The following is a 19,274-nucleotide window of genomic DNA, read 5'->3' on the forward strand; positions in this document are numbered from 1 at the left end:
GGGAATAGAGGAGTCATCACCACACACACACAGCATTGGATTCTGTCCTGACTCGTTTTTTCTAACTTCTTGGGCGAAAGGGCAGATTAGAATTGTTCCAACTCAGGCTTGTATAATTCCTGCAGAAAAGACCTATTGTTGGATCCACCTTTATCCTGACTTACCTACATGTTTAATCTTATAGAGGAAAATGGCTTTCAAGACACAAGGGATACTGATCTTACTTTAATTCTAATCACTGCCGTACCCCCAACCCCTGCTTCTTTCAGGCACTTGGCATTGAACTAGTTTTGTCATTTTACTTGCTTGCCACCTACCCCCACGACTACCCTGACAGGCCAGAAGGGAAAGTGCGGTTCCTTAGCTCACTGTACTAATAACTCCTCATTCAGCCATCCCTAGTTAAGAGTGACCCCCTAATGTCCACATTTTTTAGGTCTGCTCTTCTTTTGTCATCCCTACCAGAGTAACTTAACCCTTTACTTACAAGTTACTTGGAAGTAGTTTTCTTTTAAAAACAGTGTCATCTAATTTTTTTCAATATTGGAATGTAAATTTCCAGATGTGCTGGACTGTCCCTAGAGCAGCAGCATATACAGTAAGACCTACGATTGAATGACTAACTGGGCAAGATTGAGCTTTTGTGATGTTTTAATTATTTTACCTAATATGGAAACACTGTTGTATAATCCCAAACAGTAGTACATATTTGATCATCTAATTAAATATTGGTAACTGTTAGTGTGCCAAGTCCTGTAGTATGTGTGGGAAATTACTACCCCCTAGAGACTTAAATTCGGATGTACAAAAGATTGTATCCAAATGACTATAGCAGTCTGTGTAAATACCCAGACAAATCTATTCTCTTCCTGGTTTGGAACAAATTTTAAAAATGAACTCTATAGCTTCCATAGGCCACAAATCATCCTTGTGCGTCACAAAAAGTTATGTCAAAAATTCCTTCGGAAGTTTATCTACTTTATGCTAGAGGAAGACAGTAGGCACCATTTCCTCAGTGTTGTTGTTACAAGACTTTTGGAGGGCTTTGTTAGAAGGCCATTAAATGGCCACACTGTTGGAGATCTTAAGTGCCTGGGATAGTCTCCTTCCCATAGTTAGGAAGATATATCCCCTATTTAGCCCCACCGTGTTCCAGTATAACTTCCTTGATACAGTGGATACCACTAATGTGAATTTTTTTTGAGACGGAGTCTCGCTCTGTCGCCCAGGCTGGAGTGCAGTGGCGTGATCTCATCTCACTGCAGCCTCCGCCTCCCAGGTTCAAGCGATTCTCCTGCCTCACCCTTCTGAGTAGCTGGGATTACAGGCGCTCGCCACCACGCCCAGCTAATTTTTGTGTTTTTAGTAGAGACGGGGTTTCACTGTGTTGGCCAGGATGGTCTCTATCTCTAGACCTCGTGATCTGCCCGCTTTGGCCTCACAAAGTGCTGGGATTACAGGCGTGAGCCACTGTGCCCAGCCAAATATGTGAATTCTTGTGTGTGGGTACTAGTTTTTCTGGGGAGCCCTTTAGGTTGGCTCTAGGTCTGCAAGTTCTTTCCAAGGGATAGTTAACCTGAATGGTACATTCCTCACAGTACCAGAGCCTCTTCCTTTCCTCTTCCCCTCACCTTAGGTGAGGAAGCCTTCTAACTTAGTTATTAGGACTATGGCAGTGGTCGCCCTGCTTTTTAATAGCACTTACAAAATCGTGTCACTACCCTGTTAGTTTCTTTAGTAAAGTTTTCTCATTTTTCAAGTTCCTTCTGCCACTCGCTTCTAGGTTACAAAAGGTTACTGTTTTATGAAGGGGTGCTGAGGGTAAGAATGTACCAAGTAGATCTCATGGAGAAGGCAGCTTTCACCCAGTATCTCTGGTAGATTGCTACCTTCATAGCTTATCTTCTCTATGAATTTCTTAGCAATAGAAGAGTAAATCAGGAGTGGATTTTTAGTAGTGTGTTTGTCATAGGGAATGTAGATGTAATTGGATTTTTTTTTCATATAAGCATTTTGTAAATTCAGTTTTGGGTTTTTTGTTTTTTGTTTCTTGTTTTTGTTTTTTGTCTTAATAGAGCTAGGCATTACCAGGGTTGATGCATATTTATTACTGCAAAGAGTTGTAGACAAGGGAGGAGGGAGCTAAATAATATTAATGGTAATTTAAATCTAGAAAATCAGAACTGTGGCTCACTACTGTAATGTCAGTGCTTTCAGAGGCCAAGCAGAAGTATCGCTTGAGCCCAGGAGTTCAAGACCAGTCTGGGTAACCTAGCAAGACCCTGTCTCTAAAAAAAATTTAAAAATTAGCCAGGTGTGGTGATGCACGCCTGTAATCCTAGCAACTCAGGAGGCTGAGATGGAAGGATCACTTGAGCCAGCTGTGATTGAGCCACTGCACTCCAGCTTGAGCAACAGAGTGAGACACTGTCTCAAAGAAAGAAACAGTTGGTATTCATTGCTCTTAATAATCCTCTGTAGCTGGCTTCTCAAACTTTAATGTGCATAAGAATCATTTGTTAACATGCACATTGATAGGGTCTGAGGTGGAGTCTGATGTCTGCATTTCTAACAAACTCCCAGGGGATGGATGCCGATGTTGCTTGTCCAGAGGCGGCACTTTGAATATCAGTCTACAGAACATTCAGGGTATATGCAAATTAACTTTTAATAATAACAACAGCAACCATATATATTGATCCTTTTTTGGTGTACCAGGCACAGAAAAATAAAATAAGACTGGGCACTGGAGTCTAACAGCTGGGATTCAGATTGAAGCTCTTCCCTTTACTAGCTTAACCCTGAGCAAATTTTCTCTAAGGCAGGGTTTCTCAGCCTTGGCACTGTTGACATTGTAGGCTGAGATCATTCTTTGTGGGGGCTGTCTGGTGCATTGTAGGATGTTTAGCAACATCCCTGGCCTCTATCCACCAGATGCCATTAGCACCTCCCTCCCGTTTGTGGCATTCAGAATGACTGCAAGCATTGCCAAACGTCAGGGGGTGGGGTAGGAGGCAAAATTACTTCCAGTTGAGAACCACTGCTCTAAGACTACTGTTGAAATATGGGTGTTTGGGGGGGTTTGTGATATGAATGATGTACTTTATGTAAGTGACATAGAAGCTTATCATGAAGCTTCCACAGACAAAAGGAGAATAGGCATGCAGTAGCTAATAAGCAGTCCGTGCCACATCTGGCTTTCTGAGGATGATGATAAAGCTTATTCCAAGTGCCAGTTCTTTATTTTTACGAAACATTAGTCATTGTACTATGAGATAATATCAGGAATTACTTGAGATTTTTAAATAGGTAGAACTGAGTTTCTAATTCAGTTGATCCCAAGCCTCTGCCCTTTTTTGAAATACGCTGGCACTGTTGCTACCCTGCCCCTGCCTCTGCCCCTTCCTTCATTCTTACTTCTGCTGCTGTCCGCATGTCTCTTTTTCCCCCCTACTCTTTAAAGTTTTATTTCACTAACTTGAGGTCAAATGTCACAACTGTGTTCTGGTCAATTTACTATCCTTGCTTGGCTTCCCCAAATGGTAGTACCAGAAGATTTGTGGGGTAGGGAGAAGAGACCACTTTAAGACGCACTACATTTACTCATCTTCCACAAGGCAACAGAGTTGGGCATCTGATTATTCAACAAAACAAAGCTTCAGTAGCACCCAGGAGGGCAGACAGGCAAACCAGGCTGTAGACACACTGCATTTGTCAAAATCAGACCAGAGAAAACCTACTCCCCACAGATTAAAAGGTAGCGATAGTCATCATTTCTTTTTCTGTTGCCACAACGTTTTTCTTCTTTTAATTATTATCATGTAGTTGTCTCAAGTCCTTCCTTTAGTCCAGGGTTCCCCAAAGCCTGGGCCACAGACCCCGTACTGGTCCCTGGCCCATTAGGAACCACGCACATAACAGATGAGCAGTGGGTGGGCAGGCCGGCCAGCTGAGTGAAGCTCCATCTGTATTTACAGCCACTGCCCATGGCTTGCATTACTGCCTGAGCTCCGCCTCCTGTCAGCTCAGATCAGCAATGGCATTAGGTTCTCATAGGCACACGCAAACCCTATTGTGAACTGCTCATGTGAGGGATCTAGGTTGCGTGCTCCTTATGAGAATCTAATGCCTGATGATCTGCTACTGTCACCCATCACCCCCACATGGGACTGTCTAGTTGCAGGAAAACAAGCTCGGGGGCTCCCCACTGATTCTACATTATGGTGAGTTGTATAATTATTTCATTCTATATCACAATGTAATACTAATAGAAATAGAGTGCACAATAAATACAATGCACTTGAATCATCCCAAACCATCCCACCCCCCATCTGTGGAAAAATTGTCTTCCACAAAAGCAGCCCCTGGTGCAGAAAAGGTTGTGGACTGCTGCTTTAGTCCATCTCCTATGATTGCACAGGTAAGCTGCAAATGCCAAGGACTTGATGAGCTCAGTTCACCCCTTGCCAACAATGTATCAGTTCCTGAGAGAATGAGTTCCTGAAGTCTTGCTGTTAGCAACTATAAGTAGAGGGACTGCTTGGTTTTCTATATCCTAGTTATTTTATGAAGTTAAGTTTTAGTTTCTTCCATCCTTCCACATCTAGAGTCCACAACAAATACAATGCCATCTGTGCATCTGGCATATGACTTCCACAGTGGCCTTACTTTGTCCTAAACACCTACATCCCAGAAGTGAAAAGGGACTGTTTTAGAATTTGCCAAGATTACCTTAATTTTCTCCGTGTTAAATCTTTTGGTAGGTACAGTATTTACAAATTCATGAGCTGCAGCCTGTATAAGACAGTTGTCTTGCTAGCACAGTACAAACCCAGGAAAACAGTGTGGAAAGACTGAAATGAAGGCCGACTGGACAGGATAGAAGTGTGGTCTGATAGTCCATTTCCCAATTTCCCACTGCAAATAAATGTCCCAAATTGAAATGCTTTCTTCTTGCTTTAGAACTTCTCTTCGTAGGTGATCCAGCTATAAGACTAACCATCCTTCCCTTCTCTTCACTCAGCGTCTGTCCTAACATCTGGGGAGGTGCTCTGATACCTGTCCGTGGGCACCAGGGAGGCCTGGGCCGCGGCGGAGGACAGGGCACCAGGTGGGTGCTGTGTGCCTGGCTGCTCTAACAGTGCTCGCCCAGCAGTCCGCAAGTCTGTTTCTAGCATGCTTATCTTCCTATCTTCCCAGCCTCTCATCCTTTCACTTTTTTTCTAGGGTATGACAGCAGATAACTAAGCCTTCTAAAATTATGCCTAGAATAATATCTGAACTATGGTTTATGTGTTTGTAGGCAAGGGTCCTGTCTCCCAATAAAAAATGTAAAAATTCATTTGATAGAAAGATACTTTTAAAAAATTGATTCTGGCCAGGCACAGTGGCTCACGCCTGTGAATCTCAGCACTTTGGGAGGCCCAGGTGGGAGGATCACTTGAGCCCAAGAATTTGAGACCAGCCTATGCAACCTGGTGAGAGCCTGTCTCTATGAAAAATGTAAAAATTAGGCTGGGCGCAGTGGCTCACGCCTGTAATCCCAGCACTTTGGGAGGCTGAGGCGGGCGGATCACCTGAGGTCAGGATTTCGAGACCAGCCTGGCCAACATGGTGAAACCCCATCTCTACTAAAAATACAAAAATTAGCTGGGTGTGGTGGCGGATGCCTGTAATCCCAGCTACTCAGGAGGCTGAGGCAGGAGAATTGCTTGAACCTGGGAGGCAGAGGTTGCAGTGAGCCAAGATGGCACCACTGCACTCTAGCCTGGATGACACAAGCGAAGCTCTGTCTTAAAAATAATAATAATGGATAAAATTTTTTAAAAATTAGCTGGGCATGGTGGCATGTGCCTTTAGTCCCAGCTACTAGGGAGGCTGAGGTGGGAGAATCACTTGAGCCCAGGAAGTCAAGGCTACTGTGAGCTGAGATCACATTGTGCTCCAGCCTGGGTGACACAGCAAGACTGTGACTCGAAAAATATCCTAAATTTCACTTTGCTTCAGGATGTTCTTTAAAAGAAATCAATAATGTCATTTGAAAATTGAAATGCAGATTTGGTTTCTGACCATTGAAATGGAAGAGCAGCAGAGTAGTCTGTAATAAGTCTGTACTGAGAATGGGAATGGGGAAAGACTCACAAAAACATGATTTTAAAACAAAAAGAAAACATGAATGTTACTTTGTGGAGTTACCCTGGAAGATTTTAAGTCAGTCCAGGGAACACAACAGATTCTAGTAAGACTGTGCTAATGACAGTCTTTGACAGTTGGTTTGTTAATACCTCAAATGATTTGTAGTACAGTTTATACTGTGCAGATGCTGTTTAAGACTGTATATGTGTAAAGCAAAAGTTACTACCAGTTGATAGTTTTTTACTTTGTATACTTATCAATATAATATTGAGGCATAAGATATGTAGCCACGCTGTCCAGTGGTCATTAGGGGGAAAATGTCTCCAGGATTGTAGGAAAAGCTGTCAGAAGTGAGTCCTTGTTAATTGCGTTTATTCAATGGAGAGTTTCCTATCAGTTAACAGACACAGCTTCCTGTATGACAGAAGTGTCGTGGCTCATGGCCATCCCCGCTCCTATTGTTTACATACCTGTGTGAAGTCAGAATCCTTTATAGAAAGAAGAAAATATTGTGTTAAAGTAGAAATTACTCATTTTTCTTAAAATCTGTATCAGAGTAATATTTATTTTGATTAGAAGAAAAAACTATGTTATCTTTTTCTTTTTGCCTTGTATGTATTTGCTTATATTTTGAAAAGTGCTTTTAGTTACAAATAAACCTTAAACCTCTGTGTAGAAAAATGTGAAAGGTATAGGCATGGTCTCTTCACTTCCTCAGTTACATCCTCTCATGCAGAGGTTCTAATCACAGTTAAATTTCAATGTCTTCAAACACGGATAAGTGGGTTTTTTTAAAAAGGCACAGTCTTATACTTATTTCTGTAACCCCAATCATACTTTGGTTGGCTGGTTTTAAAAAATCATGTTACACAAAACTGAGATGACCCAGTTTAGAGAATCCCAATTAAAATAAGTGCTCAGGTGAAGACAGGGTAGACTTAATGCAAAATTATGAAATGTACTTTTCTGCTCCCATTGTGTCCGGAATTGGTGGGTTCTTGGTCTCACTGACTTCAAGAATGAAGCCGCGGACCCTCACGGTGAGTGTTAACAGTTCTTAAAGATGGTGTATCCGGAGTTTGTTCCTTCTGATGTTCGGACGTGTTCAGAGTTTCTTCCTTCTGGTGGGTTCGTGGTCTCGCTGGCTTCAGGAGTGAAGCTGCAGACCTTCGTGGTGAGTGTTACAGCTTTTAAGGCAGCACGTCTGGAGCTGTTCGTTCCTCCCGTCCGGAGTTGTTTATTCCTTCTGGTGGGTTCGTGGTTTTGCTGGCCTCAGGAGTGAAGCTGCAGACCTTCGCGGTGAGTGTTACAGCTCACAAAGGCAGTGCGGACCCAAAGAGTGAGCAGCAGCAAGATTTATTGCAAGGAGTGAAAGAACAAAGCTTCCACAGTGTCAAAGGGGGCCTGAGCAGGTTGCCACTGCTGGCTCTGGCAGCCTGCTTTTTATTCCTTTATCTGGCCCCACCCACATGTTACTGATTGGTGCATTTTACAGAGAGCTGATTGGTTTTACAGAGAGCTGATTGGTCTGCTTTGACAGGGTGCTGATTGGTGCGTTTACAATCTCTGAGCTAGACACAAAAGTTCTCCAAGTCCCCACTAGATTAGCTCCACACAGAGCACTGATTGGTGCATTTACAAACCTTTAGCTAGACACAGAATGCTGATTGGTACATTTACAATCCTCCAGCTAGACGTAAAAGTTCTCCAAGTCCCCACTTAACTCAGGAGCCCAGTTGGCTTTGCCTAGTGGATCCTGTGCCGGGGCTGCGGGCGGAGCTGCCCGCCAGTCCCGCACTGTGCGCCCACACTCCTCAACCCTTGGGCAGGCGATGGGACCGGGAGCCGCGGAGCAGGGGGTGGTCCCCATCGGGGAGGCTCAGGCCACGTGGGAGCCCACTGCAGGGGTGGAGGGGAGGCTCGGGCCTGGCAGGCTGCACGTCTCAAGCCCTGCCCCACGGGGAGGCAGCTGAGGCCTGGCGAGAATTTGAGCCTGTTGCTGGCAGGCTGGCACTGCTGGGGGACCAGGCGCACCCTCTGCAGCTGCTGGCTGGGGTGCTAAGCCCCTCACTGCCTGGGGCCAGTGGCGCCGGCCGGCTGCTCCGAGTGCGGGGCTGCCAAGTCCACGCCCACCCGGAACTCTCGCTGTTCCATGAGCACTGCGCGCAGCCCCAGTTCCCACCCGCGCCTCTCCCTCCACACCTCCCTGCAAACAGAGGGAGCCAGCTCCAGCCTCAGCCAGCACAGAGAGGGGCTCCCACAGTGCAGCAGGGGGCTGAAGGGCTCCTCAAGCGCGGCCAGAGTGGGCACCAAGGCTGAGGAGGCACCAAGAGCGAGCGAGGGCTGCCAGCATGCTGTCACCTCTCCCCATCTTTTCTTTAGTATCAATTTCAACCCTCCTTTTCCCAATTCAGGATTTTCCATACTCTAATCATTTGGATTAATAATTTAAATTACATACCATTCTATGGTACACTTCAACCAGTATTTAAAATTAAAGTTGTATTTCTTGTTGTGGAACCAAAAGTATCTTCTGGAGGAGACAGGAGATTATTAAAGGGTGTACTTAGGTGACCTGAGGGCAAACCTGGTCAGTCATTTTATCGAGAAATAGGTGGGATGCTTGAACAGCCTCAAGTAAAGCTGAGTCTTACTCCCTATTCTTCTGACACTGGCCTTCTTATAGAGTTGTTAATATTGTCCTCCACCCCTGGGGATGGGACTGCCTGCCCACTTTGTAGACCAGCAGATCCTAACTTTTCCAATGAGAACTTAGGAAACAAATAAAATTGTACGCCCCTGCATCAGAATTTTTCTGTTTTATTCTCTGATTAAGAAAGTACACATGATAAAAAGCTACCTGAATTCATCCAATAGCAGCTTTAAGTGACTATCTAAAACTTGATATTCAGGGCTGAGCATGGTGGCTCACACCTGTAATCCCAGCACTTTGGCAGGCTGAGGCAGTCGGATCACAAGGTCAGGAGTTTGAGACCGGTCTAGCCAATATGGTGAAACCCCAGCTCTACTAAAAATACAAAAATTAGCTGGGCATGGCGGCGCACACCTGTAGTCCCAGCTGCTCCAGAGGCTGAGGCAAGAGAATCGCTTGAACCCACGAGGGGGAGGTTGCAGTGAGCTGAGATCATGCCACTGCACTCCAACCTGGGTGACAGATCTCAAAAAAAAAAAAAAAAAAAGTTTGATATTCAGGTAACAATGCTTGGTCTTTTCCAGTGGATTCTCAAGACCATTCACAGTAATTCCTGAGGGCCCACAGGTTAGGGATCCCTCACTACTGCATTTTCTTCAGGGTCAACTACATTTGATATTATTTCACTTAGCATTTAATTATTTTCATGTTATATTGCACCTTTATTCTCCAGTTTTGAAGTTTAATACAAGTGTAATACGTTTTTTGTCATTATGTAGTTGTACTTGATTTCTTTTCTGTTTTGTCTACTTTTTTCTGAACTTTCAAAAAAATTAACACCTAAATTGCAAACAGATTAGAGAGATAGCAATCTTAATTGGATTTCTGGTTATATCACAGGTGATAAGCTATCACAGGTGACAAACTGTAAAATGTTCAAACTTATGCTCCTAACTGGTTGTCCCACTAGTAACCTGTAGCAGTGGTTCCCAAATGCAAACTACCTGCTTAAAGGTCATTGTTGTGGGTGGGGCACTTAAATATATGGATTCTTGGGTCCCCTCTAGATATTCTCAATCATCGGGCCTGGGGTGGGGTCTAGAAATCTTTAGTCTTTAAAGTTCCATCGATTATTTTGATGCACAGTGAAATTTGGGAATCACCAATTTTCTGTACAATCCATAAATCTGCATGTAGTGACATACTGGTAAACCTTTATTTTTTTTGTATACTAAAGGACCAGCAGAATTGGGCCCATGCCAACATGTCACCTCTAGGGCCTAGACTGCCCTCACTTTTGTTTTTTTCTAGGTTGGTTTCTTAGCACTACCAAGTTGAACATGAACAGTACGACTCCTGCCTCTAGGAGGCAGCTTGGAATATTGTCAGTACTGGATTTTAGAGAGCCTGGCTTCTGTGAATGAACTCTTGGCCTTGGTTCCTCATCTGTAAAAAGATTTTAGAGTAGCCTTTTGCCTTTAAGTGTTTACCATAAACTAGATAAAAGAGCATTCCCCTTTATCTGCAACCCCTGTATTAGTGTTATTTTCATATATAGTCCACTTTTCATTAACTGCACTCCAGGTGTCATAGCTGTATCAGCCAGTGTCTCTAGACTTTCTTCAGTTTGCTATAACAAAGTACCATGAATTGGATGGCTTATAAACAACAGAAGTTTATTTCTCACAGTTCTGGAGGCTAGAAATATGAGATCAAGGTGCTGGCAGCTTCAGGTCTGGTGAGGATGCGTTTCTTGGTTTCCAGACAACTGTCTTCTTGCTGTATCCTCATATGGTAGAGAAAAGTTAGAGAGCTTTTGAGGTTCTCTTTAAGAACACTAATCCTTTTCATGAGGATTTCTACCCCCTAACCCAGTACCTTCAAAGGCTCCACCTCCTAATACCGTCACATTGAGGATTAGGATTTCAACATAAAAGTTTCGAGGGGATGCAAACATGTAGGCAGGTAGGCAAACTTATGATGACCAAGAACCGGTTCTAACCTCAGGAAATGAAGCAATAATGGTAATATCATTTCACTGGAGAAGTTTCTGCCTGTTTCCAGAGGGAGAGGGCTGATTAAGAGCTCTCCCTACATTCCACCTTGTGAAAATTGCCATCAGATATCGTGTAAAACTATGAAGTCATCTTTTTTAAACACAAAGTATGACTTCATGGTGTAGACAATGTTTAAAAAATCTCTGGCCGGGTGCGATGGCTCACACCTATAATCCCAGCACTCTGGGAGGCCGAGGCGGGCGGATCACCTGAGGTCGGGAGTTCAAGACCAGCCTGACCAACATGGTGAAACCCCATCTATACTAAAAATACAAAATTAGCCAGGCATAATGGCGCATGCCTGTAGTCCCAGTTACTCAGGAGGCTGAGGCAAGAGAATCGCTTGAACCCGGGAGGCGGAGGTTGCATTGAGCCGAGATCGTGCCATTGCACTCCAGCCTGGGCAACAAGAGCAAAACTCCGCCTTAAAAAACAAACAAAAAAAACAAAACAAACAAAAAAACTCTCTCTGTATCTAAAACAAACTTTTTGGTGGCTTACACTTATAATCCCAGCACTCTGGGAGGCTGAGGTAGGAGGATTGCTTGAGCCCAGGAGTTCAAGACCAGCCTGGGCAACATAGAGAGACCCCCATCTACACAAATTAAATAGAAAACATTAGCCAGGTATGGTGGTGCATGCCTGTAGTCTCGGCTACTCAGGTGGCTAAGGTGGGAGGATCACTTGAGCCTAGAAGTCAAGGCTACAGTGACCCGAGATCATGCCACTCACTGCATTCCAGCCTGGGTAGCAGATCAAGACTCTGTTTCAAAAATAAAAAATAAAACAAGTTTTTAATAGTTTTTGGTAATACCCATCACAAAGAGATATTAAAGAATTAATAATAATGGTGATCACTGCCGTTTAATGAGAGATACCCATGGGTGTGTTGCTCTACAGTTTCCTTCTTTCTCTCACTTAATTCTGAAAACATTCCTGTGAGGTGGACAGTGTCCGAGCTCTTTCTGCCTCTTGGCCAGTTTGGGCCCTGTTCTTCCCATTACCCGCTATTCGGTTGCCCATATTTTCTCCCTCCTTTTTTGCCATGTCATGTTTTCTTCCCCAACTTGTATTCTCCTCTGCTTTTCCTTTGTAATAAGCTCATTCCCCTAACCTGTTGCATCTCTCACACCAAATTTCAGACCAAAAGAAAAACCTGTGATGGGTTTGGGGAAAGTATAGGCCCATGGGTAGGCTTTTTATTCCCTCCCTCTTCATCTCTTCTGTCTCTTAAATGAAGGCATCAGACTTTGTAACCAGTTAGCAGAGGGCATCTTGAAGGAGTTTGTCTTGTTCAGCATCAAAACCCCTGACATTTAACCCTCTGCCTAGTACATGGGCATTCAGTAAGTGAGTGAATAAATCCAATTCACATCGTACATTTATTTAAAAGAGTAGTTTTGCTGGGTGCGGTGGCACTCTAGAAGCCAACACAATGCTTTAGAATGGTATTGTGGCCAAATTATGGTGTACCCAAGTGTATGTAACAGTGATTTATGATAACAGCTAACAGGGTTGGAGGAATGTCTCAAGTATTAGTATTTAGAGAACCCAATTATAGAATACACATTGAAATGAAAATTGAATAACCTGTAACTGGATACTTACCATTCTCCTCCCACCTAACATGGACATACTTTTTACATTATAAACCATCTATTAGATTCTTTTAAAGGTGAGATTATGGAGATAGAAGAGCAAGGAAGAGCCAGTTAGTGGGTCAGAAAATGAAACTTCTGTGCTTAAAATGGTCATAAGTGATGTAGCTGTGAGCAAAAACTGCTCGCATTTGTCACTAATTTCGCTTCTAGGTGCTGAGATGTGTTTCCCATTTTAAGTATTGTTTACACTTTCCTACGTGTCCAGGAGAGTTTTGAGAATTGAGGAAAGTTTCCTGCTTATTCGTAGCTAGGTAGGCTTAGAATGGTTTTAACATTCTTTTATCATCCAGTTTGCTTGACCAATGGCTATGGGTTTGTTGCAGTTCTGCATCCGTTTCTGTACTTGTTTTGTAAAGAGAATCCACACAGTAAACAAAAGAGAGGAGAGAGGTAATCTTTCCATCTCTTTTAATACACTGTAAAAATTGGGATAGTGCCACCATCTGCTTATTTGTTGACGTATTATTCACAGTGCTGGTCCCAAAGGCGATAACATCTATGAATGGAGATCAACCATTCTAGGGCCTCCAGGATCCGTGTATGAGGGTGGTGTATTCTTTCTCGATATCACTTTTACACCAGAATATCCCTTCAAGCCTCCAAAGGTAAGAAATCTCCCTGTATGCTCAAATTTACTAATTCCCACAAGAGAGCAACTGTTGAGGTTTTTCTAAATTTAATTTTTAATCACAGAAACTAGATTTATCTTATGTCCTAATAGATCTGAGTATTTTAACATATACAAAACACTTCTTTAGGTTGATTTTGCCTTATCTGGCAGAGACCATTCTAGGATTAAGTGCTTTGTTTTGATGGTGCTTAAAATTGTGCTATTTATAGTAATATTGTCAGCAACCTAGAATTAATCCCCTGTTTTCCAGCCCATAGAGAAATGTTTTTGAACCTTTCTCGAGGTTAAAAATGGTGTCAAGCCAGGTGCAGTGGTGTGCACCTGTAGTCCAGCTACTTGGGAGGATTGTTTGAGCCCAAGAGTTTGAGTCCAGTCTGGGCAACAAAGCAAGACCCCAAAAAAAGGCAGGGCAGGTCAGGGGGCCAAACAACTAGAGAATCAGAATCTCTTCCCAAAGCTTTGGATTCTGTTGTGCTCCCTGTCATGTTTTGGTCTTGTTCCTTTACCTCCAGGCCTCAGTTTTCTTTCTAGGACAGGTGAGGATTGCCCAAGTCACCCATCTCCTGTACTCAATCTATGATTCTCATTCAGTCAGAAAGAAAACCCCGTCTTGGGGATTAGGTAGACTGCCAGATAAAAGTACAACTGCAGCAACAAGAAGTAATCGAAAGTCACTTTTTTAAAAAATTGGTAAAATTACAGGTAATTTTTACTTTGTGTTTTGGTATATTTCACAAATAAAAATTAAGAGACCCAAATAACACCAGCTTATGTGACTTGTGTTCTGCTGTGGTCCTTGCCCATTACTGGCTCTGCATCCATGGACACTCGATTATATAATAGTAAATTCTGTGATGTAGGTAGACAGGATGTCTATAGGACCTGATGTAACGGTCAGAAAAAAGCAGAAATAGACTTCTCTTCAAATTTTGTTCAGCCTTTTGGGTGTAGTCATTGTTTGCTAAGTATGTTGTTTAATTATCTTTATGTACCCATTATGTTGCACTTCAGTTTTTAAGAGGTATTTATGATTCTCAGTATTTTAAAGCTTACTTTGAGGCAGTGTAGTACTACCAGCTAACACAAGAGGTCAGCAAACAATTAGCTATTCAAACTTGGAAATGTTAATATTTAAAAGATTTAAAATTGCTAAAGATGAAATTAGGAAGTACTGAACTTACCGTCAGTGGACATAACATTTTAAATGAAATTGACACAGTCCCTGAGATGGTATCAATGAACACTTTCTAATCAAATTTATTGTCTATCTTCTTGACAGCTTTAATTAAAACTGCTTTTAGTCACCTTCTTAAGGGTCATTCAGTTGAATATTTAGTAACAAGTTTGTTTGCTGTTTAAATATTGTCTGTCACTTGTTTTTTTTAGGTTACATTTCGGACAAGAATCTATCATTGTAATATTAACAGTCAAGGTGTTATTTGCTTGGACATATTGAAAGATAATTGGAGTCCAGCACTAACCATTTCTAAAGTCCTCCTTTCTATCTGCTCACTTCTTACAGACTGTAATCCTGGTAAGGTTCATAATTCTTTACCTTGTTTTATTCTTCCTTACCTGAAAAATACTTGTTTCCAAAAGCTTTCAAAGGACAAAACTAATTTTTCTGCACAAGTTTGTGAATACAAAAACTAATCGGCTTTTCAAAAGAAAGTTTTAATCAAGTTCAGTCTACTAGTTGAGACACACAACTTCATTAATCAGTATATTCTAGCAACAAGGTATTTTAAACTGAAGACTGACGTAAGTTTGCCTTGGGCTTTTAGTTTCAATTATTCTTCCTCCTTTTTTTTTCCTGTTGCTTAATTTCCCATAGAGTTCTTATAAAACAAATCAGACACTTCTAAATGTCGAGTCATCTGCCTGGCAAGCCTCACCTGTGCCTCTGGGGTTCAGTGAGCATGTGTCCCATAGCTGGTCACTGAGATGGCACTCAATTTTGAAAATGGTAGTTGTTAAATACTTAGTGACTATTGAATTGTGACTTTTTTGGGACTTCATTTCATTTAAAAAATATTTTTCTGTAGTCACAGCTACTAGGGTGGCTGAGGTGTCAGGATTGTTTGAACCCAGAAGGTCAAAGCTGCAGTGAGCCATGAGCATGTCACTGCACTGCATTCCAGCCTGGGTGGCAAAGCGAGACCCTGTCTCAAAAAATATATATATATACACATATGTATATATATACACACACACAGACAAATATATTTTCTAGGTAAACCAAATATAAATTTATTAAAGATCCTAAGATTCAGAGAAATACTATACTTAATTGGAGGTCCAGGTTTTGCCTGGCAACCTGGCTCTTTAACCAGCGTAAAGGTTAATAGTGTTGCACTGCAACAGCCCCGAAGACTTCACAGTATTCACAATGCCGTTAACTGGTGACATTGAGCTAAGGGTCACATGAACACAGCTGGATGTTCATTGCAGTCTGAAGCCTTGACCGTTCCAGTCTCTACTGAACTCAGCCTAACACATAAGAGTAAAGAAACTCCAATTGAGTGTTGTTTGTTGGGAGAAAAATGGAATGAACTAAGATAAAGACAGACCAGTACACTAAAGCCTAAGCATTCCCTCTTCCCCCAACGTTATGTTTTTTTGAAATTTTGATGGAAAAATATCCAGCATGGTGGAGTGGTGTTTCGAAGATGGGTTTGATCACACATACTTTGTCGTACGTATCTACCCAAGCTGTCACTATTCGCTAAAGTTTAAAATGTTCTTTTCCTTTCTCCAAAGTAATCTACATTCTTTTCTTCCAGCCGACCCCTTGGTGGGAAGTATTGCCACTCAGTATATGACCAACAGAGCAGAACATGACAGAATGGCCAGACAGTGGACCAAGAGATACGCTACATAAATTGGGGTTTCACAATTCTTACATTATTTGTCTGTCACAGAAGAGAGCTGCTTATGATTTTGAAGGGGTCAGGGAGGGTGGGAGTTGGTAAAGAGTAGGGTATTTCTATAACAGATATTATTCAGTCTTATTTCCTAAGATTTTGTTGTAACTTAAGGTATCTTGCTACAGTAGACAGAATTGGTAATAGCAACTTTTAAAATTGTCATTAGTTCTGCAATATTAGCTGAAATGTAGTACAGAAAAGAATGTACATTTAGACATTTGGGTTCAGTTGCTTGTAGTCTGTAAATTTAAAACAGCTTAATTTGGTACAGGTTACACATATGGCCATTTATGTAAAGTCCCTCTAAGACTACATACTTTTTGTTTAAAACAAAATTGGAATTTGTTTTCCCTTCTTGGAAGGGAACATTGATATTTAACAGAGTTTTTAGAGATTGTCATCTCATATATATAAAATGGACACGTGGCTATAAAACACCATATAAGAGATGAGTAGTGCGTTTTATTTTATATGCCAATCTACTTTGTTTAAAAAAGGTCTGAATCAGGACTTGTGAAAACCTGTAGTGAAATACCTTAAGCTGTTAACTAACTGTAAGGCGTGGAATAGGAGTTGCTCAGTGGATTGGTTCTATGTTGTGGACTACTTAAGTCTGCATTTGTTACTGTGCTAATAAACAATATTAAAAACCACCTAATAAACACTGCTGTGTTCATTTACTTTTCTTTTGCCTTTTGGTTGCCATTCGCAGATTCTTCTGAAATCGATAGGTATCTGCTTCTAAAACAAGCTAAAAATAATGCATATTTAGTAGGTATTAGTTAGTTACCTATATTAGGATCTGTACTTTACACAGCTGTAGATGAGGTATCCTAGAAAAGGTTAAATAATCTACCCCATTTAGGCTTCAAAGACGAACCCTACTGCATCTTTTTAAAAGCATTTTCTGACTTGCAGATGCTGTAGTAGCAAGTACATGAGAAATGGGTTCCGTCATGGATAAATTGGTACCCTGCCTTAGGGGGCATTTTGGCAGTACATGTCCTGACCCAGCAGTTCTGTTTCTGTATGTCTCTTTCAGAGAAACTTATCTGGATACACATACATTCATTACAGAATTTAAAAAGAATTGGTAACTGTTTGTACTAATATAGACTAAGTTGCATTAGTAGGAAACAAAGCAAACTGGAAGGTACTTATTTAAAAATCATTATGAAAGCATTTGTCCATCTATGTAACATGCATGGGTGGGAAGCTAGATTAATATTCAATAACCGGGGGAAAAGGGTAAGGGGGTGAGTTAGTGTCTGGTAATTTTTTTTTACCAAAAAATGAATTTATGATGAGAAATTTTGAAGAATTATACTGTAGCAGCAATAGCTGATTTGTAAGTATCGTCTTTTATATGTAGTAGTTCTTCACTAGAGCTCATGAAAAAAGTATTCCATTTAAGATGTTACAAATTACTTGATGTTTTAATATGTTCTTTGTTGAATAGCTTATTTTACATTTCAGTCAAAATAGTTATTTCACAGGTGAAACCACTAAGTAGCTTACTTCCTACCTTTTAAATTAATAAAGTTACAGTCAGCCACATTGCTTGAGTCTTGCCAAAATCTTTAGAGAAACAACACAAACTCAGACATCTAAGTCAGATCAAATTAGAGCCCAATATTTTTGATACTTTTATTGTATATGACTAGTTTTCTAGAAAACTATTCCAGAAGATACAGTCTTCCTTCCAGAAAATACAGCTTTACTGTCCTTAAGTGCCTAATCATTTTCAAGAGGAGGAGCAAACAGTTTGCCCTCAAGTATCTGGTCTATCAACAGGGGTCTGGCTAAGGAAAAAACGGCCTTAGAGCGTGATGAACCTACTTAACACTACCTGGTACCTCAACTCATGCTAAACATTCTAATTTGAGCAAAGCTAAATCATGGGTCTTAGTCTGTTTAGCAAAATCTCCACAAGATGAAATTTAGCTTACTACCCCAAACTGTTCAATGTTTTGGGTCCAATTTAGACACAAAAAAATGTTTTATAATCCTAGACATTAGATTAATGAACTTTTTAAAAACAAAGTCATGTTTGGGCTTAGAAGTTTGCATAATGTTACACAGAATGATTATGATATCTTCCGAAACAGCTTGGGGTTGGGGGGAAGTTACACATAGGTGCATTTGCATAACTATCCAAACTATTTTACTGTTTTCACAAGTACAACATAAATAACAAAGGTGCTAATTTCAAAGACAGGTTTCAAACAATGAGAATAAGAATATATTATTTCATATCAGGCAATAATAACCTTAGCCCAAATACTTTTAACATCTAAAGTGCATTAATTGACTTCCTTAGGAATTTTCCTAAGGACCAAAGGTAGATACAAATGGCCTATTTTAAATAGTAATATTACTCCATGTTCACAGACACTTAAAGGCAATCACTATTCAACATACAATTGTGGAAATTACTGATTTTTAGTTCTCAGAATTAGAGTTCCCTTTGTTTTTCCTCCCAGGCAAAGGAAAGCTTGATTTGCTCTGGGGTTGAGAAAGTTTACTGGCTAATAAAGTGAATGGTTCAATCAGAGTTTTCCGATCTGTAACAGTCACCTCCCACAGTCTTACTTTCTCACTTTTTGCCCACTGCTGTGCCACTTCAGCGTCCACTTGTCTCTGCTCAGAAAGGTCGATTTTGTTTCCTAATACCACAATTGCTACCTGAAAGAAAACGGATTGAAAAGATCATACTAGTACTTTGCCAACATCAGTTCCTGGGCAAAATGGAGACATAAGGAAAATTGTTCCACTTAACAAACCTGCTTCATTAAACTGATTCTCAAGTGTGACTGGATATTAGGATTTCACCTTACTCCTTAATGCATTTTTGTTAAAAATGGAGATGCTCGGCCGGGCGTGCTGGCTCATGCCTATATTCCCAGCACTTTGGGAGGCCGAGGCTCGTGGATCTCTTGAGGTCAGGAGTTCAAGACCACCCTGGCCAACACGGTGAAACCCCATCTCTACTGAAAATAAAAAAATTAGCCAGGCGTAGTGGTGTGCGCCTGTACTTGGGAGGCTGCGGCAGGAGAATCGCTGGAACCCGGGAGGCAGAGAGGGTGCAGTAAGCCGAGATGGCGCCACTGCACTCCAGCCTGGGTGACTGTGCAAGACTCCATCTCAAAAAAAAAAAAAAAAAAAAAAAATGCAGATGCTCTGTAGTTTGCTAACTGTAAAAAAAAAAAA

General features: G+C 41.4%; 2 protein-coding genes and 1 pseudogene across 31 annotated transcripts in view, besides 1 other annotated feature; 1 reads left to right on the top strand and 2 right to left on the bottom strand.

Annotated features, from left to right (window-relative positions):
* The window catches only part of UBE2E1 (ubiquitin conjugating enzyme E2 E1), an 85,686-nt gene extending 68,634 nt beyond the window's left edge, over window positions 1–17,052 (top strand). For 3 of the 4 annotated variants that reach the window (NM_003341.5, NM_182666.3, NM_001202476.2), the window contains 3 exons: window positions 12,979–13,111; window positions 14,524–14,671; window positions 15,921–17,052. In NM_003341.5, coding sequence (NP_003332.1) covers window positions 12,979–13,111; window positions 14,524–14,671; window positions 15,921–16,018 — 379 coding nt within the window. In that variant the 3' untranslated portion in view covers window positions 16,019–17,052. Of the gene's footprint in view, window positions 1–12,978; window positions 13,112–14,523 lie in introns of all 4 variants that reach the window. The other variant, XM_005265431.6, reaches the window with a different exon arrangement.
* On the bottom strand, window positions 4,393–5,108 carry ARL4AP4 (ARF like GTPase 4A pseudogene 4; annotated as a pseudogene).
* Window positions 8,192–8,776: an enhancer, noted in NCBI's record as "H3K27ac-H3K4me1 hESC enhancer chr3:23924271-23924855 (GRCh37/hg19 assembly coordinates)". NCBI's record gives its function as "activates a minimal SCP1, AML or CMV promoter by ChIP-STARR-seq in naive H9 embryonic stem cells {active_cell/tissue: H9 hESC(naive)}" and the evidence as "EXISTENCE:reporter gene assay evidence [ECO:0000049][PMID:30033119]".
* The window catches only part of NKIRAS1 (NFKB inhibitor interacting Ras like 1), a 56,612-nt gene continuing 52,700 nt past the window's right edge, over window positions 15,363–19,274 (bottom strand). For 26 of the 27 annotated variants that reach the window (NM_001377380.1, NM_001377365.1, NM_001377363.1 and 23 more), the window contains one exon: window positions 15,363–18,749. In NM_001377380.1, the coding sequence (NP_001364309.1) occupies window positions 18,507–18,749 (243 nt within the window). In that variant the 3' untranslated portion in view covers window positions 15,363–18,506. The remainder of the gene's footprint in view (window positions 18,750–19,274) is intronic. The other variant, NM_001377369.1, reaches the window with a different exon arrangement.

Source organism: Homo sapiens, chromosome 3 (genome assembly GCF_000001405.40).
Source record: "Homo sapiens chromosome 3, GRCh38.p14 Primary Assembly".
Lineage (NCBI taxonomy): Eukaryota > Metazoa > Chordata > Mammalia > Primates > Hominidae > Homo > Homo sapiens.